Source organism: Homo sapiens, chromosome 21 (assembly GCF_000001405.40).
Source record: "Homo sapiens chromosome 21, GRCh38.p14 Primary Assembly".
Lineage (NCBI taxonomy): Eukaryota > Metazoa > Chordata > Mammalia > Primates > Hominidae > Homo > Homo sapiens.
The window spans coordinates 37,020,403-37,046,241 of record NC_000021.9 but is presented as its reverse complement, the minus strand read 5'-3'; the positions used below and the strand labels follow the sequence as shown (position 1 = coordinate 37,046,241).

Below are 25,839 nucleotides of genomic sequence, written 5' to 3'. Positions count from 1 at the left end.
CTCATTGCAGCCTTGAACCCCTGGGCTCAACTGATCCTCCTGCATCAGCCTCCTGAGTAGCTGGGACTTACAGGCATGTGGCACAACACCCAGCTAATTTTTGTGTGTGTTTGTGTGTGTAGAGATGCGTCTTGCTATGTTTCCCAGACTGCATATTTTTTTTAAAAAAGAATATAGGAAGCACAATTCTTAAATTACGTAAAATAATGTGCTTTTCCTTTTGGAGATTTACAAGATACTTTAGAAACTTCTGGAGCATCCGTATCATTGGCAAGGGCACCCATTGCCACTTTTTTGTAGCCCGCAAACATCAACTGATAGAAGGCCAGATAAACCAACGTATCTATGAATCAGACCCTACTCTTATTTCTCAGAAAAATTATGAGTTCAAATTCCCTTTTCCGTGCTTTAGCTTTTCTTTTCCGGTTGCACAACATAGTATCTTTGAGGAAATCCTTCCATAAAGAGAATTCCATCTTGGCAGCATCTTATCTCAGTCAGTAAGTGTCCAAGGCATAAAAAGTTTCTTTAAAAGTCGTTTGCATGCTAAACCTTTGCAAGAAAGCTGCTCTTAAAAACCTGTCTCAGGATTGGACTTTTTTTTTTTTAATGTGGAGCGCTTCATGAATTTGTGTGTCATCCTTTCACAGGAGCCATGCTAATCCTCTCTGTATCATTCCAGTTGTAGTATACGTGCAGCTGAAATGAGCAGGGGCTTGGACTGTTGGTGAGATGTTGCTTTATCATGATGTCCTTCTGAATGGGACAATTGAGTACCCCAGTGGAGTCAGGATGCATCTGCCTTTTGCTTTGCAACCAGAAAAAGGAAGGATGTGCAAACCACACATGTCTGCTCTGGGCTCACCCCAAACCTGGGCATCTTTTACTGCACGTGAACACTTCCTCCGAGAATCCCTCAGACACTTACCCCCAGCTGCTGCTGCTGATAGGACCGTGCCCCTGCTTGTTGGCCTGTCTTGGCTTCACCTCGTAGCAGCAGAGGAAGCCGAGATCACCCCACTGCACTCCAGTCTGGGCGACAGAGTGAGACTCCATCTCAAAAACAAACAACAAAAAAAAAGAATTGCTAGAAAAATAAAATTAAAAAAAGACAAACAATAGAAACCTGATTTTTTTTTTAAACTAGACTCAATAAACAAAAACTTTCCCTGTCAAATTCCTATAGAAGTTTCTCAACATTTCTCTCAACTCCTGGCCACCTCATCGCAGGCTGGTAACACAGGCCATGGCTAGGCCCCAGTACGCAGATCCCACTTAGAGGATCATTGGTTTCATTACTTGTGTTCCCACTAGACTTTGAGCTCTGGGGGGTGGGGGGAGGGTCACCTGCCCTATTCACCACTATGTCCCTAAGGCCTAGAATGGTACCTGGCACATAGTAGGTATTCAATGCATTCTTAGTGAATGACTCAAGTGGTTCAATGAACAAGCAGCCAGTGACAAAGGAGGGCATATGGAAAGAGGGGTCCACGGGATGTTTGGCCAGGTTGGTCACTGTTGGCCCAGTGGCAGGGTACAGGCTGTGAAGACTGCAAGCATTCTGGGGACCCACAGGGGTGCAAGGACAACTCCTGCTGTCCAGGCTCGTGGCAGTCAGGAGAGGCCCAGGGCAGTGGCCGCTGCCCAGGCAGAAGCCACCCCTTATCTCAGGACAGCTCAGCATGGGCTGTGCCCCTGTTCTGCCTGGCAGCCCCTCTGATCTCTAACCAGATTCCCTGTGAGGGCCCTGGATGGAAATTCCGACAGGGCCCATTGATGGGGGTCCCTGGGTAGGGGGCAGGCACCTGAGGAGAGATGGAAAGTGACCCTGAGGAGGCAGGTTTCGGGGGGGGGGGTGGCCAGCTGTCCTCTGTCCTTGCTAGTGCAGGGCCCTAAGCAATGTGCAACCTGGACTGGGTATCAGAGCAAGGCCAGCAGGGACTAATGCCTAAAATAGAGACGGCCTCTGCGGGGGCTCAGGAACAGGAGAAAGACAGGAGGCAGCAAGTCAAGTCAGCCAGGCTTCCAAGGTTGGCCCCTGCCGTGTAAGACACCTGACTTCAAGAGAAAGCCACAGCGCAGGTAAGGAAACTGAACTTTTCTGGACTTATCAGCCTGGCCAGAAAAATGTTGTGGGCAAAACACTCAGGACAGAGAGCAGTGGGCCAGGGGTGGTGGCTGGACCCAGGAGCCTCCAGGACACAGGGAGGAAGTGACCGCAAGGTCAGACAGGAAGCCTGAGCCGTGGGACTCCTTGGGGGCATTCATGGGGAAGGCAGAGAGAGGCAGGGCAGGGCCAAGAGAGAGCTGCAGAATGAAAGCACAGCCAGGAGAGACCAGAAGAGGGGAACCAGAGACTGAGCCCCAAGATGGGGATTCTACGAGCCTGGGCCTGGCCCGCCTGCTGTCCCTGGGAAGCCATCTGGTCCAGCCAAGTTGGAAGGCGTGGTAGCCTTGGGAGACATCCCCAAAGTTCCCTAATTTTTTTTTTTTTTTTTTTTTTGAGACGGAGCCTTGCTGTGTCGCCCAGGCTGGAGTGCAGTGGTGCAGTCTCGGCTCACTGAAACCTCTGTTTCTCGGGTTCAAGTGATTTTCCTGCCTCAACCTGTGAAGTAACTGAGATTACAGGTGTGCGCCACCATGCCCAGCTAATTTTTGTATTTTTAGTAGAGATGGGGTTTCACCATGTTGGCCAGGCTGGTCTCGAACTCCTGACCTCAGGTGATCTGCCCGCCTCCGCCTCCCAAAGTGCTGGGATTACAGGCGTGAGCCACCGTGCCCAGCCACAAAGTTCTCTATTAATAAAAGGCCCCAGGAAAGGCAGGCCCAGACAGAAAAAACTATGCTTTACCATCTCTAGAGAGTCTATATGCCCACTATTTTTATTTTTGTTTCTTTCTGTTTATTTTCCTATCACAATTAGTAGGAAGATATTTCAAATAAAAAGGACTATATACAGGCCAGGAGCGGCGGCTCACTCCTATAATCCCGGCACTTTGGGAGGCTGAGGCAGGTGGATCACTTGAGCCCAGGAGTTCGAGACCAGCCTGGGCAACATGGCAAAACCCTGTCTCTACAAAAAATACAAAAATTAGTCAGGTGTGGTGGTATGCGCCTGTAGTCTCAGCTACTTGGGGGGCTGAGGCAGGAGAATTGCTTGAACCTGGGAGGCAGAAATTGCAATGAGCCAGGATCACACCACTGCACGCCAGCCTGGGCGGCAGAGCAAGACACTGTCTCATAAAAATAAATAAATAAATAAATAAATAAATATAAGAAAGAAAAGAAAAAAGACTGTATCCAAATTGACCTATGGGAAAGTCATTTTTATAGGTCAAACTGGTCACATATCAGCATTGCACAGGGTTCTGCCTGATGTATCTGGGTCCAGGACAGAAGGCAGTGGGGGCAAGGGCCACAAAGCTCTTCCTCAGACAGCTCTGGGTGCGGAGCAGAGCGGTCCCCAAGATACCAGAGGCTGATGGCAGCTGTGAAGAGAGAAGGACGGCTGCTGCACCCCCAGAGCAGAGGGAAAAGGGACGGTCACAGGGAAATTGACTCAGAAAAGCAAATGGGCCGGGTCATCCCTCGGGGAGGAGGGCCCTGGGGCCGACTCTCAGGCGGTCTGTGTCCCCAGCCAGGTCTTTCCAGGCAAGTCTTAGGATGTACTCAGCCAGTTCTCAAGATAGTCACCAACCTGAAAACCTCAGGGCCAAGCCGGCCCAGGCAAACACACTGTGCATATGGCCTGGTGAAGCTGGCCCCGTGCCATGTCCGTACTGTTTGAAATGTAAGTCTGTGTTGGTTTCAGCTCAGGGTTTTGTTTTAGTTTGATGTTTTTGAGACAGAGTCTCACTCTGTTGCCCAGGCTAGAGTGCAGTGGTGGTGCAATCTCGGCTCACTGCAACTTTCACCTCCCGAGTTCAAGTGATTCTCCTGCCTCAGCCTCCCGAGTAGCTGGTATTACAGGCATGCGCCACACCTGGCTAATTTTTGTATTTTTAATAGAGACAGGGTTTCTCCATGTTGGCCAGGCTGGTCTCAAACTCCTGACCTCAAGTGATCCACCCGCCTTGGCCTCCCAAAGTGCTGGGATTATAGCCATGAGCCACTGCACCTGGCCTAGCTCAGGATTTTAAGTGGATTAGTGAGTTGTTTGTTTGTTTTTCCCCAGGGCACCTCAGCTTTTGAATGTGTGGCCACCCCCACTCTCATGTCCCTGGGCAGCTCAACACTAAATATCCAACCACCCCTTCTGGTGTGATGAGGCTGCCTGGCCATCCTAGGTGGAATCAACCACACTCAGCTCTGTGGAAGAAGGAATGCCCAATACTGTTCCCCAGAGCCGCCTGCAGCAACTGACACCTGCCCCACCTCAGCTGCCGCTCCACCTGCTCAGGCCTGCCTCCAGAGTTGTCAGGTGAAAGGGGCCAACTTTGCAAGGGCTGTGGCAGGAGGGACAGGCCTCCCCAGGCCAGGAGGCCCTCACCCAGGCCTGCTGTGGGGAGAGGCTGTAACCACAAACCCCCTCTCTGGTTCCAGACCTGTCCTTTCCAGCCCACTGATTGGGGGGGATGGTGGGTGGCAGTGAGGACAGAACAGTGACACTAACACTTACTTGGGGAATGCTCATTTACCTGGAGACATGCTCTTGTTCCACCTCTGGGGACGTCCCTCAGGCTAATACACAGCTGTGGGGTCCCTGCTTCTCCCTGAGCATCCTCTGGCAAGGCCACCTCTCCCGGATGCCACCCACAGAGCCCTGGGGACCTGGATGCTGAGTAGCTGGGATTATAGGTGTCCACCACCACGCTCAGCTAGTTTTTGTATTTTTAGTAGAGGCAGGGTTTCACTAATCCTGTTGGCCAGGCTGGTCTCAAACTCCTGACCTCAGGTGATCTGCCCACCTCGGCCTCCCAAAGTGCTGGGATTACAGGCATGAGCCACCGCGCCCAGCCTAGATAAGTAGACTTGTGATTGCTTAGGGTAGGGTGGGGGAATAGAGGACTGAGGGCTAGCAGACATGAGGTTTCTCTTTTGAAGTGATGACATGTTTTAAAATTGACTGTGGTGGTGATTGCACGTATCAGTGAATATACTAAAAACCATTTAATTGTATACTTTAAATGGGTGAATTATAAAGTATGTGAATTCTATCTCAATACAGCTATTTAAAAAAAAAACGAATGAATGAAAACTGGTAACAACAATCAAAAAGCTACCTAAGTCACCCATATAAGGATCATCCCAAACGTATCCTGAAACTGACCTAAAATCTGAGAAAATTGACCTGGTTGGTCTCTTGATAAAGCCATGCCCCCTCATATTGCCTAATTAGCCTCCTAATGCTGAGTGATATGTATTCATTGTATTGCATCTTATGCAATCAATACACAATACTCTTTTTTTGAGACAGGGTCTCGTTCTATCGCCCAGGCTGGAGTGCAGTGGCACAATCTCAGCTCACTGTAGCCTTCGTCTCCTAGGCTCAAATGATCCTCCCTCAGCCTCCCAAGTTGCTGAGACTACAGGCACACACCACCACACCTAGCTAATTTTTGTATTTTTTGTAAAGATGGGGTTTTACCCAGGCTGGTCTTGAACTCCTGAACTCAAGTGATTTGCCTGCCTCGGCCTCCCAAAGTGGTAGGGTTACAGGCATGAGACACTGCGCCCAGCCTGCAATAAATAATACTTTTAAAATGTTAAGTTATCCCAAAATATAGAATCCAAAATAATTTCTTTCCATTTTAAACCTAAGCAAGTAGGTGATTTGTTGTTCTATACGTTTGTAGTGAATATTTGCCATTTGACCAATGACAAGTTTTTTGCAAGTCATGTCCCAAGTAGTTTTAGTACATGTCAATGGTTTATAAAAACATAAAAAGTAGGGCCAAATTCAGGAACCCCATCTGAGCTTGGAGAATATAAGTTCTTCTCTACTACTAACAAATAACAATGACAAAAGTTGTGGCAACTTTTAAAGCAAGCAAAAACAGAAAGTAAGGAGCATATGGTAAGTTCTCCAATGCTAAAAGCAGGCATTGCAGCTGCTCTACTTGCAGCCTTAGAGTATGGTAGAAAATAAATAAAACAGGCCAGGTGCAGTGGCTCATGCTTGTAATCCCAGAACTTTAGGAGGCAGAGGCAGGAAGATTGTTTGAGGCCAGGAGTTCAATACTAGCCTGGGCAACATAGCAAGACATCCTGTCTATAAAAAAAAATTTTTTTTTTTAAATAGCTGGGCGTGGTGGTGCGTGCCCGTAGTTCCAGTTACATGGGAGGCTGAGCTTGAGCCTCAAGGATTGCTTGAACCTAGGAGTTCTAGGCTGCCGTGAGCTATGATCACACCAGTGTACTCCAGCCTGGGCAACAGAGCAAGCCCTGTGAGACAGGAAAGGAAAGGAAAGGAGAGGAAAAGAGAGGAAAGGAGAGGAAAGGAGAGGGAAGGGAAAGGGAAGGGAGAGGGAAGGGAGAGGGAAGGGAGAGGGAAGGGAGAGGGAAGGGAGAGGGAAGGGAGAGGGAAGGGGGAAAGGGGGAAGGGAAGGGAGAGGGAGAGGGAGAGGGAGAGGGAGAGGGAGGAAGTCATTGTCATTTAAATGCGAAGCTATAATGGACATTATTCAAGAAGCTGTTTCTTGTGTATACTAACAAATACCCTAGAGACATGGAAGAGAACAAGCAGCTACAGAAGGAATCCAACTTTAAAGAAAAGTTAAAAGAAAAGAAGATAGAGCCCTCTCTGCAGCCTGGCCCATTAGGGTGTAAAAGCGTCTGAGGTCGGAATTCTGACTAACGCTTCAACTTCCACGGATAGGCAGCAAGCCAAAGGGATCCTTGTTTTCATAGAAAGTCTTCCCCAAACCCAAGTGGACACCCAATTCAGAGACCATGAAGTGAAACTGATGTAGAAACTCCCTGGAAGGTTTCACTGGGGACAAACACTGGATTATTAAGATTAGCCTGGGCCATGAAAATATCCTACTAGAAGCATTGTGAGCTGAATCCAGCTGCCCTGGCTTCAAATCCTGTCAGAGATGGACTCTGACATGGGGTAGATTATGAGCCCACAGCCACCAGGAAGAACCAGTCACAGGCAAGAGCTTTTAGCCCTGCCCAGAGGTAAAGGACCACCAAGCTCCAGAAAGCAGCAGACAAGTGTCCTCCAGGAACTGAGAGACTCAGCCTGCAATTGTGTGCTAATAATTACCCCTGGCTTTTTTGTTTTTTAAAGAAAATAAGTTGTAAATCTCAGCACTTTGGGAGGCCGAGGCAGGTGGATCGCTTGAGCCCAGGAGTTTGAGACCAGCCTGGACAACATAGTGAAACCCTGCATCTATTAAAAAAAAAAAAAAATCAGCCAGGTGTGGTGGCACGTGCCTCTAGTCCCAGCTACTCAGGAGGCTGAGGTGGGAGGACCACTTGAGCCCAGGAGGTTGAGGCTGCAGTGAGCCAAGAACGCACCACTGCACTCCAGCCTGGGTGACAGACCTTGTCTTAAAAAAAAAAAAAAGAAAAAGAAAAGGAAAAGAAAGAAAAAAGGTAAATTGATTTCCAGACCTTAGAGGGAAATTGAACACACCTAATATTTTCCTTTGTATCAAAGCCAAGGCAGGGCTATGAGCCTTGTTCATCCAGACTCCACTGAAAGGAGCTGGCAGGAGTGCCAGGAAGTTCATGTGGGGCTCATTTCCCAAGGCCCGAACCCCACGGAGGCGATGGCTTCCGAAGTGATGTTGGTGAGACATCACACTCCACTAACTTCGTGACTGATACTCAGTTGTCCTGCCTGTGACAGTGTTTGCTCCATCAGTTCTGATGAAGAATGAACGTGTGTTTACATTTAGGAAATTTCTCCATTTAGGTATGTTTACACTTACATCACTTCAAGTGGCTTTCTAGATTTTGGCCAAATAAAATGATGTATACTAAAGCTAACCATACACATACCCTAGCAGCCAACATCCACTCCTAGATATATTCTCAACAGAAATGTCCACAGATAATGCACAAAAAACAAACCCAAAAGTGTTCATAGCAGCATTATTCATAACAGCCAAAATCCCTGGAAGCAATACAAATGTACATCAATAATAGAATGAATAAATAAATAGTTGACATATTCCTACAAGAGACTATGGTTGACTTATGTACAGTGTAAAATAAACCAGACAAAAACGAGTGCATACAGTGTGGTTGATTCCATTTATATAAAGTTCAGAACTGGGCAAACAAATGTATGGTGTTAAGAGTCAGAATAGTGGTTATCTTTGAGGAAGAGAGTGAGTGTGGTAGCTGGGAGGGGCTTTGAGGGGCTTCCAGGGTGATGGTGATCTTCTATTTCTCAACCTTGTTGGTGTTATAGAAGGGATGTTACCTTTGAAAATTCATTGAGCACTTAAGATATGCTTGCTTTTCTGTATCTGTTGTATATTGATAAAAACTGCATTTTAAAATAAAAATTTTAGTGTCTTTTAATCATCTATATGGTAACTGTTGCTAGGGACCAGTATATTATTGTAGAAAATTCTGGAAAACGATGGACTTTCCAGGTGTACTGTTGATATATCTGGAGAGCACCCACTTTATGACAATGGTGACTATTATGGTTTGGTATTGTTGACATCTGAAGCCCTAAGTCTTACACCTAACTTAAATTTGGGTAGTGGTCTTACCATGTTGTTTAACAACCTAATCTTGGAGTTTCAAGTAATTCCAGATACTCACTTTGAACGCAGGACAGGAAGGTCTAGCCTACTGATGACCTGGATCTAGGCAATTGGTCCTCCCTTCATGTCTTACTTTGGAATTGAACCCATTATTCTAAAAGTACACCTGGGACCTCTTTACCTTTAAGTGATTGATGACTCAGAGGTCACTGCACATCTTCAGAAGACAGGGCCTTAATGAATAAACCCAGGAGAGTAAAAAAACTCAGAGGTCTCAGGGAAGAAACTGAAATATTTCTTTAGAATGTTTTCCTTTGGGTTACTTCTTAAAAATTTAAACTTTGTCATGCCCTCCACCCCCAAAAAATGTATTATTCCTGTAGCGACTCTGTAGCTAAATAAAAGATACAAATATTGTCTTAATAATAAGAGTCTACGCTTTAAAAAAAAAACAACTTATTGGGATGTAATTTATTTACTATATATTTACCCATTGGCACTGTACATTTCAAAGATTTTCGTGCATTTCTAGAATTATGCAACTAACACCATAATCCAGTTTTAGAATAATTCTATCACCCCAAAAAGTTTTCTTGTGCTGATTTACAGTTAATCCTTGCTCCCACTCCCAGCACTAAGCAACCACTGTTTTGTTTTCTGTCACTAGAAATTCGCCTTTCTGTGGACCTTTTATATAAATGGACTCATACGGACGGGCGCAGTGGCTCACGCCTGTAATCCCAGCACTTTGAGAGGCTGAGCCGGGTGAATCACGAAGTCAGGAGTTCGAGACCAGCCTGGCCAACATGGTGAAACCCCATCTCTACTAAAAATACAAAAATTAGCCAGGCATGGTGGTGGGTTCCTGTAATCCCAGCTACTCGGGAAGCCGAGGCACGAGAATTGCTTGAACCCGGGAGGTGGAAGTTGCAGTGAGCTGAGATCATGCATGCCACTGCACTCCACCCTGAGTGACAGAGTGAGATTCCGTCTCAAAAAATAAATAAATAAAAATTGAAAAAGAAAATGGACTCATACAATGCAGTCTGTTATGTCTGGTTTCTTCCACTTAGCACGCTGCTTCCAAGGTCCACTCGTGTTTCCACATGTATCAATACTTCATCTCTTCTAATTACTGAATAACATCCCATTGTATGGACATACCACATTTTATTTATCCAGCCACCAGTTAATGTATATTTGGATGATTTCCAGTGTGAGATTGTTATGAATAGCGCTACTATAAACATTCACGTACATGTCTTTGTGTGGACTAATGTTTTTATTTGTCTTGGGTAGATTCCTAGGAGTGGAATAGCTAGGTTCTATGGTGAATTTATGTTTAGCTTTTTTATTTTCTTTCAGACAGGGCCATGCTTTATCACTCAGGCTGGAGTGCAGTGTTGCTATCATGGCTTACTCCAGTCTTGACCTCCCGGGCTCAAGTGATCCTCCTACCTAGGACTACAGGACTCACCACCATGCCTGGCTAATTAAAAAAAAATTTTTTTTGGCCAGGTGCGGTGGCGCACGCTGGTAATCCCAGCACTTTGGGAGGCTGAGGCGGGTGGAATCACAAGGTCAAGAGATCGAGACCATCCTGGCCAACATGGTGAAACCCCATCTCTACTAAAAATACAAAAATTAGCTGGGCGTGGTGGCGCGCACCTGTAATCCCAACTACTCGGGAGGCTGAGGCAGAAGAATCGCTTGAACCCAGGAGGCGGAGGTTGCAGTAAGCCGAGATCATGCCATGGCACTCCAGCCTGGTGACAGAGCAAGACTTCGTCTCAAAAAAAAAGAAAAAAAATTTGTAGAGATGGGGTCTCCACATGTTGCCCAGGTTGGTCTGAACTCCTGGGCTCAAGCAAACCTCCTGCTTCAGCCTCCCAAAGTGCTAGGATTACAGGCGTGAGCCACAGTGCCCAGGCAGTTTTAGCTTTCTACTGAAACTGCCAGATTGTTTTCCAAAATGGTTGTACTGTTTATACATTTCCACCAATAATATAATATGAGGATTCTAGTTTCTCCACATCCCTGCCAACACTTCTTATTTAAAATTGTGATCCAGGTTGGGCATGATGGCTTATGCCTGTAATCCTACCACTTTTGGAGGCCGAGGCAGGCAGATCACTTGAGGTCAGGAGTTTGAGACCAGCCTGATTAACATGGCGAAACCCTGTCTCTACTAAAAAAAAAAAAAAAAAAAAAAAATTAGCTGGGTGTGGTGGTGCATTCCTGTATTCCCAGCTACTCAGGAGGCTGAGGCAGGAGAATTGCTTGAATCTGGGAGGCGGAGGTTGCAGTGAGCCGAGATCACACCACTGCACTCCAGCCTGAGTGACAGCAAGACTCCGTCTCAAAAAAAATAAAATAAATAAAATAAAACAAAATAAAATTGTGATCCAGCATTCTCATTTCTGGGTATTTACCCAAAAGATTTGAAATCAGTATGTCAAAGAGATGTCTGTGCTCCCATTTTCACTGCAGCACTATTTACACTAGCCAAATTATGGAACCAATCTAAATGTCCATCAATAGATGAACAAATAAAGAAAATGTAACATATATCCACAATGGAATTTTAGTCTTAAAAAAGGAAAGAAATTCTCTCATTAACAACAACATGGATGAAATTGGAAGACATGGGCAGGACGCAGTGGCTCATGCCTGTAATCCCAGCACTTTGGGAGGCAGAGGCGGGTGGATCACCTGAGGTCAGGAGTTTGAGACCAGCCTGGCCAACATGGTGAAACCCTGTCTCTACTAAAGATACAAAAAAATTAGCCATGGTGGTGGGTGCCTGTAATCCCAGCTACTTAGGAGGCTGAGGTAGGATAATCACTTCCGGGAGGTGGAGGTTGCAGTGAGCCGAGATCATGCCATTGCACTCTAGCCTGGGGAACAAGTCTCAAAAAAAAAGAAATCAGAAGACATGACGTTAAGTGTAATAAGCCACACACAGAAAAACAAATACCACGTGATCTTACTTATGTATGTGTGATGGTTGATACTGAGTGTCAACTTGATTGGATTGAAGGATGCAAAGTACTGATCCTGGGTGTGTCTGTGAGGGTGTTGCCAAAGGAGATTAACATTTGAGTCAGTGGGCTGGGAAAGGCAGACCCACCCTTAATCTGGGTGGCCACCATCTAATTGGCTGCCAGTGTGGCTAGAATATAAAGCACGCAGAAAAATATGAAAAGACTAGACTGGCCCAGCCTTCCAGCCTACATCTTTCTCTCATGCTGGATGCTTCCTGCCCTCAAACATTGGACTCCAAGTTCTTCAGTTTTGGAACTCCAACTGGCTCTTCTTCTTCCTAAGCCTGCAGAAGGCCTACTGCGGGACCTTGTGATTATGTGAGTTAATATTTAATAATCTCCCTGATATATATATATATATATATATATATATATATATATATATATATACACACACACACACACATACACACACACACACTATATATATACTATATATATACACTATATATACACTATATATATACTATATATATACACTATATATACACTATATATATTCTATGTATATTCTATATATATATTCTATGTATATATTCTATGTATATATTCTATGTATATTCTATATATATTCTATGTATATATTCTATATATATTCTATATATATTCTATGTATGTATTCTATGTATATATTCTATATATGTATTCTATGTATATATTCTATATATATATTCTATGTATATATTCTATATATATATCTCCTATTAGCTCTGTCCCTCTAGAGAACCCTGACTAATATAATGTGGAATCTAAAACAATAGCCTCATAGAAGCATAGAGTAGGATGGTGATTACCAGAGGCTGGGGGCTGGAGGGAATGGGTAAATGATGGTCAGAGGCTACTACAAAGCCTCTGTTAGGCAGGAGAAATAAGGGGTTTTTTGCAATCTATTACACAGCATAGTAAGTTTAGTTAATAATAGTGTATTGTACATTTCAAAATTGCTAAGAGAGTAAAATTTCAAATGTTCTCTCCACAAAAGAAGTTTGAGGTGATGAATAGTTAATTCACTTGATTTAATTATCCCAAGTTGTATTTGTAAATCATAACATCACTTTGTACCCCATAAATATGTACAACTATAGTTTGTCAATTTACAATAATAATATTTTAATAAATAAATAAATAAAATTGTATCCATTCTAACAGTGATGTAGAAGTATCTTACTGTGTTTTAATTTGCATTTCTGTAATGGCATTGAACATCTTTTTGAAATATTTGAAACTATAAAATCAAATCTGTTTGTAATGATTACCAAGTAATGATGCAATAGAATATTAAAATAGTACTGTATTTTTTATTTGTCCAGCAACTGCCTTCTAAGGCAGTCAGAACTGTTTGTATCTTTTTATTATCCATCATTTTCATGATCATCATCACAAAGTACCTATTTATGCATTGGCCTTTCACCAGCAGTTCTGCAAAAATGAGTCACGCAGACATGATTCATGCTCTGCAGGACAGTAGCAAATTCTTCCTCTGGTGGTTTCTGTATAGGACAGTTTTTCTCTTCTTTGATATATTACCCTTCTATCACAGAATAAACAGGTGACAAAAATAAACTGCTCATGCCAGGCACGGTGGCTCACGCCTGTAATCCCAGGGCTGTGGGAGATCGAGGCAAGAGCATCACTTGAGTCAAGGAGTTTTGAGACCAGCCTGGGTAACATAGCAAGACTCTGTCCCTACAAAAAATAAAACGATGAGCAGGGCATGATGGTTGCACCTGTAGTCCCAGATACTCAGGAAGCTGAGACGGGAGAATCACTTGAGTCTAGGAGTTCGAGACTACAGTGAGCTGATTGCTCCACTGAACTCCAGCCTGGGCGATGGAGCAAGACCCTGTCTCTAAAAATTAAATAAACTGCTCAAGGAAACAAACATAAAACCTCTTTCAGTTCAGTCGATTGTTCAGGGTCCAAAATAATAGAAAACAATCTTAGTAAAATCTATAATTGGCATGGTAGGGATGTACGATAGAAGCAGATAAAGAGTAGCGACAGGTGGCCCGTGGTCAGTGTAAGTAAAACCTGGTGAAGGATGCTACCCCAGAGGAAGGGAGGTCAGGGAGGGGGGGCCATGCTCCCTGCTGAGAAGGAGCATTTGTAGGATGTGGGTTCTGTTCTCCAATCTGACGCTTTCTGTAATTAAATTTTCTCTGTATGTAAAGAGATGAGATGAGTTGAAGCCTTGGTAAGTTCATAGATCCTTCAGAAGAGAATTATTAGACTTCTCCAGGATCTTCTTAAGAGATTGAATTCCTAAGCCAGGCATGGTGGCTCATGCCTATAATCCCAGCACTTTGGGAGGCCGAGGTGGATGGATCACCTCAGGTCAGGAGTTTGAGACTAGCTTGGCTAACATGGTGAAACCCCGTCTCTACTAAAAATACAAAAATCAGCCAGGCATGATGGTGCATGCCTGTAGTCCCAGCTACTTGGGAGGCTGAGGCAGGAGAATTGCTTTAGCCCAGGAAGGGTGGAGGTTGCACTGAGCAGAGATCTCACCACTGCACCTTGGCCTGGGCAACAGAGTGAGACGGTGTCTAAGAAAAAATAAAAATACAAAAATTAGCCAGGCGTGGTGGTGCATGCCTGTAATCCCAGCTATTCGGGAGGCTGAGGCAGGAGAATTGCTTGAACCCAGGAGAGGGAGGTTGCAGTGAGCCAAGATCATGCCACTGCACTCCAGCCTGGGTGACAGCACAAGACTCCATCTTAAAAAAACGGGGGTGGATTGAATTCCCAGGTCCCCTTTCACATTTCCAAGTCACATCCGATTCCCAAATGAAGTAAGCTTCTATATCTTGTTACAAAATCCCAATTTAGGAAGAAGAAAGAGCCCACTGACTCTGGTCACTTTCTGGACACAACAGCACCCCTAAGCTCTGGTTCATTAGTAAAGATCGCAAAGAAAAGAACAGCCTGTTTGGTAACTTTGTTCTTTTCCTCTAAAACTTCGTGGTCCATGCCCTCCACTCTTCAGTTTTTAAACTATTTTCAGGCTGAAGGACACCAAACATATGAGGGGAAGACATAAAAACTATCTTCTTGCTACTTCTCCTAGAAATACACCAAATGGCCGGGCGCCGTGGCTCATGCCTGTAATCCCAGTACTTTGGGGAGGCTGAGGCAGGTGGATCACTTGAGCTCAGGAATTCAAGACCAGCCTGGGCAACATGGTGAAAACCCATCTCTACAAAAAATACAAAAATCAGCCAGATGTGGTGGCACATGCCTTTAGTCCCGGCTATTTGGGAGGCTGAGGCAGGATGATCGCTTGAGCCCGGGAGGTGGAGGCTGCAATGAGTTGTGGTGGCACCACTGCACTCCAGCCTGGGTGACACAGTGAGACCCTGTCTCAACAAAAAAAAAGAAAGAAGGAAAGGAAGGAAGGAAGGAAGGAAGGAAGGGAAAAGAAAGAAAGAGAAAGAAAGAAAGAAAAAAAAAGAAAGAAAAAGAAAGAAAGGAAAGGAAGAAAAGAAAGAAAGAGAAAGAAAGAAAGAAAGAAAGAGAAAGAAATAAAGAAAAAGAAAAGAAAAGAAAAAGAAATGCATTCAGTATGGGTCCATATGTCCACCAACAGCCATCGACAGGAATGGTCAAGGCAGTGTTATTTCTGATAACCACAAACCGGAAACTAACCAATTGTCAATAGGACAGTGAATACATTGACACAACAGAGTTCTACTCAGCAATGAGAACGAGCTGCCTACAGCTTCACATCACAGTTTGGCTGATTCTCCCAAGCACAATGTTAAGGATGGAAGCCAGACACAGAAGAGCACATACCATTTGGTCCCTTTGATACCAAGTTCAAAACCAGACAAATCGTATCTACGGTTTTAGAGGCATGGAGACTGGAAGAGAGTGCAAGGGGTTATCCTAGGCGACCAGTTGTGCTCTGTTTTTGATCTGGGTACTGCTTACATGAGCATATTAACTTTGCAAATTATATCAAGTATACGATTTATGTAGTTTCTATAGGTGTATTATTCTGTAATAGAAAGTTTACATTGGGCCAGGCCCAGTGGCTTATGCCTGTAATCCCAGCACTTTGGGAGGCTGAGGAAGGCAATAGCTTGAGCCAGGGAGGTCAAGGCCACAGTGAGCTGTGACTGCACCACTGCACTCTAGCTGAGGTGACAGGGTGTGACCCTGTCTGATATGATTTGGCTGTGTCCCCACCCAAATCTCATCTTGAATTGTAGTTCCCATAATCCCCACTTGTCATGGGAGGGACCTGGTGGGAGGTAATTGAATCATGAGGGTGGGTACCCTCATGCTGTTCTCGTGATAGTGTGTTCTCACGAGATCTGACGGTTTTTGTTTTGTTTTGTTTTGTTTTGAGACAGAGTTTTGCTCTTGCTGCCCAGGCTGGAGCGCAATGGCACGATCTTGGCTCACCACAACCTCCGCCTCCCAAGTTCAAGTGATTCTCCTGCCTCAGCCTCCCAAGTAGCTGGGATTACAGGCATGCACCACCACGCCTGGCTAATTTTGTATCTTTAGTAGAGACAGGGTTTCTCCATGTTGGTCAGGCTGGTCTCAAACTCCGGACCTCAGGTGATCTGCCCGCCTCAGCCTCCCAAAGTGCTGGGATTACAGGTGTGAGCCACCATGCCCAGCTATCTGATGGTTTTATAATGGGTTTTTCCCCATTTGCTCGGCAATTCTCCTTGCTGCTGCCATGTGAAGAAGGATGTGTTTGCTTCCCCTTCCACCATAATTGTAAGTTTCCTGAGGCCTCCCCAGCCATGCTGAACTGTGAGTCAATTAAACCTCTAACCTTTATAAATTACCCAGTCTCGGGTATGTCTTTATAGCAGCACGAGAACGGACTAATGCTGAGACGCTGTCTCGAAAAATAAATAAAATAAAATAAAATAAATACAAAATATAAAAAAAATTAAAAGTTTACATGGAAAAACTAGCCTAGAAAGAAGGATGGTTTTATTTCCTTGATGTTAATATTTGTAACAAAATTGCTATGACTTTCCCTCTAAAAAATGTGCTCTTCAAATACACCTCTGGAATATAAAGAGAAAGAATAATCTTATATATAATTTCAGGGAGCAGTTTTATACCTTACTTTAACATATAATTTCAGGGAGCATTTTATACCTTACTTTTCATGCCTTACTTTAACATCTACCTGAAATAGTCTAAAACTCCTCTGTGTGGTGCCCACCAGAATTTACTCCTAAGTCCTAAAAAGAACAGTTCGTGAGTGAATTGGCTTGTTGGTGGTACAGATTTTACTTTTTTGCAGTCTTCTTTGATAACAAACGTTCTATTCTCTCTGCATGAAGACAGTGCTACTGAAAACGCATGTGCCCCATGCAGTGGAGCGTTCCTGCAGAGCATAATGAGTGGGATGCTTTGAGCCCCTGCTGGCCCATCTTTGGGGGCACTGTCACTCTCTAGGCCAACAGCAGAAATTTGCAAAACAAGGATTTGCTTATTTCTTTATTCAGAATAAATTGTTCTCTGAGCCGAGGTAATTGGATTGTAACGAAATCAAGGCTGTGCTGGTGACAGCATCAATGCTGTGCCCTCACCACAGTCGACGTGCACAGCCCAGGCGAGTGTGGAAAGGGACCATGGTTTGGTGGGGACAGGGTGCAGTATTGAGACTTCTGGGCTTTTTTTTAATCTAAATTTTTTTTTAAGTTTTAAAAGATAATTTAGAAGCCAAATTAAAAAAAAACATATTTTATGATTCCACTTTTATGAAATGTCCAGGAGAGGGAGATCCAGAGAGACAGAAAGTTGAGTGGCTGCCAGGGCCTGGAGGATATGGGAGTGTCTACTAATGGATATGAGATTTCTTTCTGGGATGATGAAAATGATCTGAGATTAGTGGTGATGCTCGTACACTTCTGTGAATACACAAAAAAGATGCTGAACTGTACAGTTTTTTTGTTTTTTTTTTGGAGATGGTCTCAGTCTCACTCTGTCACCCAGGATGGAGTGCAGTGGTGTGATCATAGCCCACTGCAACCTCAACCTCCCAGGCTCAAGCAATCCTCCCACCTCAGCCACCCGAGTAGCTGGGACTACAGGCTCACACCACCACACCCAGCTAATTTTTGTATTTCTTGTAGTGACAGGGTTTCACCATGTTACCCAGGCTGGTCTCAAGCTCCAGGTCTCAAGAGATCCTCCCGCCTCTGGCTTCTGAAGTGCTGGGAGTACAGGCATGAGCCACTGTGCCCAGCCTGAACTGTACACTTTAAAAGGGTGAATTTTGGCCGGGTGCGGTGGCTCATGCCTGTAATCCCAGCACTTTGGGAGGCCAAGATGGGTGGATCACCTGAGGCGGGGAGTTTGAGACTTGCCTCACCAACATGGAGAGGCCCCATCTCTACTAAAAATACAAAATTAGCCAGACATGGTGGCGCACTCCTGTAATCCCAACTACTTGGGAGGCTGAGGCAGGAGAATCGCTTGAACCTGGGAGGCAGAGGTTGCTGTGAGCCGAGGTCACGCCATTGCACTCTAGCCTGGGCAACAAGAGTGAAACTCGGTCTCAAAAAAAAGGTGAATTTTATCGTATGTGAATTACATCACAATTTAAAATTTAAAATTTTTCTGGGTGAATGTGGTGGCTCATGCCTGTAATCCCAACACTTTGGGAGGCCAAGGCAAGAGGATCACTTGAGGCCAGGAGTTTGAGACCAGCTTGCACAACATAGTGAGGTCCTATCTACACACACACACACACACACACACATACACACACACAAAATAATAAGGCATGGTGGCACATACCTGTAGTACCAGCTACTCAGAAAGCTGAGGTGGGAGGATTGCTTGAGGCCAGGAGTTCAAGCCTGCAGTGACCCGTGATCGCACCACTGGACTCCAGCCTGGACAACACATTGAGACCCTGTCTCTCTAAAACAAAACAAAACAAACAAAATTCTTCCCAAGAAACTGGATTGAAAATAATATAGATAATGCAAGCTCAAGCAAACCACAAACAAATGTCAAGGCTAATATTTCTGTCTTTATTGCAAGCTCATCATCAGCCACATAACAAGCTAAAAGAGATCTGGCAAAAAGTTGGCAAAAAGTTAGCAAAAATAATTAACATTATCAAGAAAAATAATTGAATTGTTAACATCTTTTATCATTGGACCTCAAGCAAAGCATACATTTTACTGTAGATACTGTCAATTGTGTTTAAAAATCATGTGATCCTCAACACCAGATCACACAAAATTTCACTCAACTTAATGACAAATGTTTAACGGTGTGTTAAACAGCATGTTTTGCAATTCCATGTTTATTATAGAAGTTTAAAAAATATTAGAAAACACTGTCTTCCTACCACAGTAAAACTGGTTAAAATAGCAAATAGGAAACACTATGGCAAGAAATTGAAATGCATTCTTTTGTAAGAAAATCTATTGGAAGACTCAAAGAAGATGTGGCTGGAGATTTGAATAAACCATTATTACATCAAATCACGCAGCGTAGGAGGTTTGAGTACAGCTGGGTGAAAGTGCAGATATTTCTAGCATGTTCCAGCTTGTGGTATTTGCAAAATTCTGTTTCAATAATGAAATTCATTAGGAGCTACTTTTTGTGAGCCACTGAAAGAAAGATGTGTCAAACGAGTCAGCCTCAACCATAAATTACCTTTTAAAAAATGGATATTTTATAGAAAACCTAGCTAAGTATAACCATTGTTGGAGCAGCCATTTTGATTAGAATGCTAAAATGATTCCAGAGAAAACACATAGAGATGTCACCACGTGTGAAATCCATGTACTGCACCGTTATTAGGCAAGCTGTTGCAGGAAAGAAATGGAAGGGGATGGAGGAAGATGCAGACTGTGGAGAGTGGGGAAGGCTGGGCTGTTTAATGCCAACAGCCGTTCCTCAGCTCCAGCTGATTGATTCCTTGCAGGAACACATGCAAACACTGCCAGAGATCCAGATTTTTAAAGAGAAATCACCTGATTTTTAAAATCCAAGAGATAGGAACCCAAAATTGGTCTTTCGAAGAGCAGTCTTCTCTCTCTCTCTCCCCATTCGTGTTTTGCTGTAGAATGATAGGCTAGTGGTAATCTTCTGACTTCTTCAGGAAGGTTATACAATGGGGTTCATTTTAAAACACTTTGGGAGGCCACAGAGGGAGAATCACGTGATGCCAGGAGTTGAAGACTAGCCTGGTAACACAGAGAGACCCCCATCTCTGCAAAAATGTAAAAATTAGCTGGGCATGGTGGCGAATACCTGTAATCACAGCTACTCAGGAGGCAGAGGTGGGTGGATTGCTTGAGCTCAGGAATTTGAGGTTGCAATGAGCTATGATATATACATATGATCTATATAGGCTGGGTGCAGTGGCTCACACCCGTAATCCCAGCACTTTAGGAGGCTGAAGTCAGCGGATTGACCTGAACTCAGGAGGTAGAGACCAGCCTGGGCAACATGGCGAACCCCATCTCTATTAAAAATACAAAAAAAAAAAATTAGCTGGGCGTGGTGGCAGGTGCCTGTAATCCCAGCTACTTGGGAGGCTGAAGCAGGAGAATCACTTGAACCTGTGAAGCAGAGGTTGCAGTGAGCCGAGGTCACACCACTGTACTCCAGCCTGGGCAACAGTGAGACCCTGCTTCAAAAAAAAAAAAAAAAAGAAGAAGAAAAAAAAAGAGTAAAAAAGGAAAAATAAATAAACTTGGATTCACATCAAGAGAAGATTTATTCATCAACTTTCAGTAAAAACTTCTTCAAAATTGGTGGATGTGACTGAAAAGTATAATTTAGTAAGTGCATGCTATATTTCTTTTATTTGAATCCATGCTTCTCTGTGAGGTGGCTTAAATATTATATATATGTACACAGTATACATTATTTAGTATATATATTTATTTCATGAGAATAAAAGGATTTAAGAACTATTAATAATTTAAATGCTTATCAGGCAAGATAAAGAAATAAAGAGCATCTCCAAATGGAAAGAGAGGAAGTCAAGCTATCTTTGCAGATGGCATGATCCTGTATCTAGAAAACTCTAAAGTCTCGGCCAAAAAGCTCCTTCAGCTGATAAACAACTTCAGCAAAGTCTCAGGATACAAAACCAATGTGCAAAAATCACCAGCATTCCTATACACCAACAACAGCCAGCAAGAGTCAAATTGGAATTCAATCCCATTCACAATCGCCACAAAAAGAATAAAATACCTAGGAATACAGCTAACCAGGGAAGTGAAAGATCTCTGCAATGAGAATTACAAAACCCTGCTCAAAGAAATCAGAAATGACACAAATAAATGGAAAAACATTCCATGTTCCTGGATAGGAAGAATATCATTAAAATGGCTATACTGCCCAAAGCAATTTCTAGGTTCAACGTTATTCCCTTTTTTTTTTCTTTGAGACAGAGTCTCATTCTGTCGCCCAGGCTGGAGTGCAGTGGCGCGATCTCGGCTGACTGCAAGCTTTGCCTCTTGGGTTCACACCATTCTCCTGCCTCAGCCTCCCAAGTAGCTGGGACTTCAGGCGCCTGCCACCACACCCGGCTAATTTGTTGTATGTTTAGTGGAGACGGGGTTTCACCGTGTTAGCCAGGATGGACTTGATCTCCTGACCTTGTGATCCACCCGCCTCGGCCTCTCAAAGTGCTGGGATTACAGGCGTGAGCCACCGCGCCCGGCCAATTCAACGTTATTCTATCAAACTTCCAATGACATTCTTCATAGAACTAGAAAAAACTATTTTAAAAATTCATATGGAACAAAAAAAAGAGCCCAAATAGTGAAGGCAATCCTAAGTAAAAAGAACAAAGCTGGGGACATTACCCTACCTGACATCAAGCCAAACTACAGGGTTACAGTAACCAAAACAACATGGTACTGGTACAAAAACAGACACATAGACGGATGGAACAGAATAGAGAGCCCAGAAATAAGGCCACACACCTATAACCATCTGATCTTTAACAAAGGTGACCAAAAAAAAAAAAAAAAAAAAAAAGCAATGGGGAAAGGACTCCCTATTTAATAAATGGTGCTGGGATAACTGGCTAGCCATATGTAGAAGATTGAAACTGGACCCCTTCCTTATACCATATACAAAAATCATCTCAAGATGGATTAAAGACTTACATGTAAAACCTAGAACTATAAAAACCCCGGAAGACAACCTAGGCAATATCATTCTGGACATAGGAATAGGCAAAGGTTTCATGACAAAGATGCCAAAAGCAAAGCCCAGTGTGGTGGCTCATGCCTGTAATCCCAGCACTCTGGGAGGCCAAGGCAGGCAGATCACTTGAGGTCAGGAGTTTGAGACCAGCCTGGCTAACATGGTGGAACCCCATCTTTACTAAAAATACAAAAATTAGCTGGGTGTGGTGGTGGGCACCTATAATCCCAGCTACTCAAGAGGCTGAGGCAAGAGAATCACTTGAGCCCAGGACGCAGAGATTGCAGTGAGCCTAGATCACACCACTCCACTCCAGCCTGGGTTACAGAGCAAGACTCTGTCTTAAAAAAAAAAAAAAAGAAAAGAAAAAGAGATGCCAAAAGCAATTGTAACAAAAGCAAAAATTGACAAATGGGATCTATTAAACTAAAGAGCTTCTGCACAGCAAAAGAAACTATCATCAGAGTAAGAAGACAACCTAGAGAATGGGAGAGAAATTTTGCAAACTATACATTGGACAAAGGTCCAATATCTAACATCTATAAGGTACTTAAACAAATTTGCAAGAGAAAAAAACAAACAACTCCATTAAAAAGTGGGAAAAGGGCTTGAATAGACACTTCTCAAAAGAAGACATAAATGTGGCCAACATGAAAAAAAGCTCAACATCACTGATCATTAGAGAAATGCAAATCAAAACCATAAGATACCATCACACACCAGTCAGAATGGCTATTGTTAAAAAGCAAACAAAACAAAACAAAACAAAACAAAAACAGATTCTAGTGAGGTTGCAGAGAAAAGGGAACGCTTATACACTGTTGGTAGGAAAGTAAATTAGTTCAACTATTGTGGAAAGCAGAGTGGAGAATCCTCAAAGATCTCAAAACAGAACTACCATTCGACCCAGCAATCCCATTACTGGGTATATACCCAAAGGAATATAAATCATTCTACCATAAAGACACGCACTGGAATCAGTCTAAATGCCCATCAATGGCAGATTGCATAAAGAAAATGTGGAATATTATGCAGCCATAAAAAAGAACAAGATCGGCTGGGCGCGGTGGCTCACGCCTGTAATCCCAGCACTTTGGGAGGCTGAGGCGGGCGGATCACGAGGTCAGGAGATCGAGACCATCCTGGCTAACACAGTGAAACCCCGTCTCTACTAAAAATACAAAAAAAATCAGCCGGGCCTGGTGGCAGGCGCCTGTCGTCCCAGCTACTCGGGAGGCTGAGGCAGAATGGCATGAACCTGGGAGGCGGAACTTGCAGTGAACTGAGATTGTGCCACTGCACTCCAGCCTGGGCGACAGAGCTAGACTCTGTCTCAAAAAAAAAAAGAACAACATCATGTCTTTTGCAGGAACGTGGATGGATTTGGAGGCCGTTATCCTTAGCAAACTGACACAGGAATAGGGAAGAAAGCACGGTATATCCTCACTTATAAGTGGGAGCTAAACGACGAGAACTCGTGCACACAAAGAGGGGAACAACAGATGCTAGGGCCTACTTGAGGATGGAGGGAGGAGGGAGAGGAGCAGAAAAAATAATTATTGAGTACTAGGCTTAATACCTGGACGATGAAATAATCCGTACAACAAACCCCTGTGACACGAGTTTACCTGTATAACAAAACTTCACATGTACCCCAAACCTAAAATAAAAATTATTTTAAAAAGACACAAACACGTGTATGTTCATTGCAACACTGTTCACAGTAGCAAAGACATGGAATCAACCTAAATGCCCATCAATGGTAGACTGGACAGAGAAAATGTGGTACATATACACCATGGAATATTTCGCAGCCATAAAAAGGAACAAGATCATATCCTTTGCAGGAGTGTGGATGGAGCTGGAGACCATTATCCTTAGCAAACTAATGCAGGAATAGAAAACCAAATACTGCATGTTCTCATTTACAAGTGTGAGCTAAATGATGAGAACACATGGACACACAGAGAGGAACAACGCACATTTGGGGCCCATAGGAGGGTGGTGGGTGGAAGGAAGGAGAGGATCAGAAAAAATAACAAATGGGTACTAGGCTTAATACCTGGGTGATGAAATAATCTGTATAAAAAGACCCCATGATATGCATTTACCTATGTAACAAACCTGCACATGTACCTCTGAACTTAAAATACAAGTTTTAAAAAGTGATGAAATTGCTTATTTGCTTTTTTTTTTTTTTTTTTTGTAGAGATGTGGTCTTGCTATGTTGCCCAGGCTGGTCACAAGTGATCCTCCAGCCTTGGCCTCCCAAAGTGCTGGGATTACAGGTGTAAGCCACCATGCCCAACTTGGGCTTTCCTTTAAAATATACGTCTTGTGTATATTTTGTAATGCGCAATATATTATCCCAATAGTACATGTTGGTTGAACCATATGAAATTGCCTTTTTTTGTAGGTTAAAAATGGTAAAGCATCAGCAATTTCAAATGGCTCAACATAACATATAATTCATAAGTGAATATATGTTAGGGGGCAGGCACACATTTTTAATTTTGTATTTTGTTGAGGTGGAGTCTCACTCTGTTGCCCAGGCTGGAGTGCAGTGCTGCAATCATAGCCCACTGCAACCTTGAACTCCTAGGCTCCAGCATCTCCCACCTCAGGCTCCTGAGTTGCTGGGACTATAGTAACACACCACTGCACCTGGCTAGCTTTTTAATTTTTTGTTGAGGAGGAGGTCTCCCTCTGTTGCCCAGGCTGGTCTCAAACTCCTGGGCTCAAGTGATCCTCCTGCCTCAGCCTCCCAAAGTGCTGTTATTACAGGCATGAGCTACCATGCTCAGCTACATTTTTTAAGTGAGAGGGATACATGACCAAAACCCTGGAGCTCTTAGGTTTGAGACTTTTAGTTAATTCACGTAATTGTAACAATCAGAGAGCTAAGGAGGCCCCAAGCTCACCATATCCTTGCTATCAAAAATGTCTGACCCACAGTATATGTGATTCCATTGCTAGCCATAGCTAAAGTGCCTTGTTTTGTATTTGCACTAAGCTGGCCAGATTCTAAGTAATTTAGAATTAATGTAATGTAAAACTATCATACAGCATATATTAATCAACTTTTTTGAGCAGGGTCTCTTTCTGTCTCCCAAGCTGGAGTGCAGTGGTGTGATTTTGGCTCACTGCAGCCTCAACCTCCCCAGGCTCAGGTGATCCTCCCACCTCAGCCTCCCAAGTGGCTGAGACTACAGGCACGTGTCACCACGCCTGGTGAATTTTTTGTATTTTTAGTAGAGAAGGGGTTTCACCATGTCCAGGCAGGTCTCGACCTCCTGGACTCAAGTGATCCACCTGCCTCGGTCTCCCAAAGTGCTGGGATTACAGGGGTGAACCATCTCACCTGGCACACGCAGCATATTTTAAACTGTGGAGGTTGATGCCATCAGAATTTGGACTATGTTTGGTTTATTTAGGATAAACTCATTATTGGACCAGGCTTTATTTGTCAATAAAACTGATTTATCAAGAAAACTCAACAAAGTCAGATGTGATTATTTAGTTTTTATCTTAAGCATCACATGAAGGAGTGAGGATAAGACTTCTAGCATTTTTCTGTGAAAAGCCAGCAAAATTCGGGGTCATCTTAAATCCTTTCTGAAATTGACCCAGGTTTAATTGTTTTTAAGTCTGAAAAGATGTACTTTAAACAAGTAAAAGAAACAATAAAATATAATTTTTAATTTTTAAATGAAAAAGTAGCCAAATTTGTTCAAAACACAAAAAAGTAAACATTTTAAAAGAAAAAAAGGCCCAGAAAAGAAAAACACACAAAAAAGGAATTTTTCAAAAGACTGAAGCCATAAAACACAATTGATGTTTGTTATCTTTAGACAAAGGAAAGGGGGAAGAGCAGAATGTGATTTTACTTTGCAATGTGTACTTTCTATAGTGTTTGGATTGCTGAAAGTATTTCCATTCATTACTCCTACTTTTTAATATATTGG

General features: G+C 43.5%; 1 long non-coding RNA gene and 1 pseudogene across 1 annotated transcript, besides 2 other annotated features; one reads left to right on the top strand and one right to left on the bottom strand.

The window, feature by feature from the left end:
- Positions 606–712, bottom strand: RNU6-696P (RNA, U6 small nuclear 696, pseudogene; annotated as a pseudogene).
- Positions 3,564–4,065: an enhancer, noted in NCBI's record as "H3K4me1 hESC enhancer chr21:38414477-38414978 (GRCh37/hg19 assembly coordinates)". NCBI's record gives its function as "activates a minimal SCP1, AML or CMV promoter by ChIP-STARR-seq in primed H9 embryonic stem cells {active_cell/tissue: H9 hESC(primed)}" and the evidence as "EXISTENCE:reporter gene assay evidence [ECO:0000049][PMID:30033119]".
- LOC124905017 (uncharacterized) lies at positions 4,137–9,706 on the top strand. Its single transcript, XR_007067859.1, has 2 exons — positions 4,137–4,420; positions 9,337–9,706. It is a non-coding gene; the product is annotated as an uncharacterized LOC124905017 (long non-coding RNA).
- Positions 11,412–11,576: a silencer, noted in NCBI's record as "fragment chr21:38406966-38407130 (GRCh37/hg19 assembly coordinates)". NCBI's record gives its function as "represses an EF-1alpha promoter that drives an FKBP-Casp9 reporter gene in an ReSE screen in K562 erythroleukemia cells {active_cell/tissue: K562}" and the evidence as "EXISTENCE:reporter gene assay evidence [ECO:0000049][PMID:32094911]".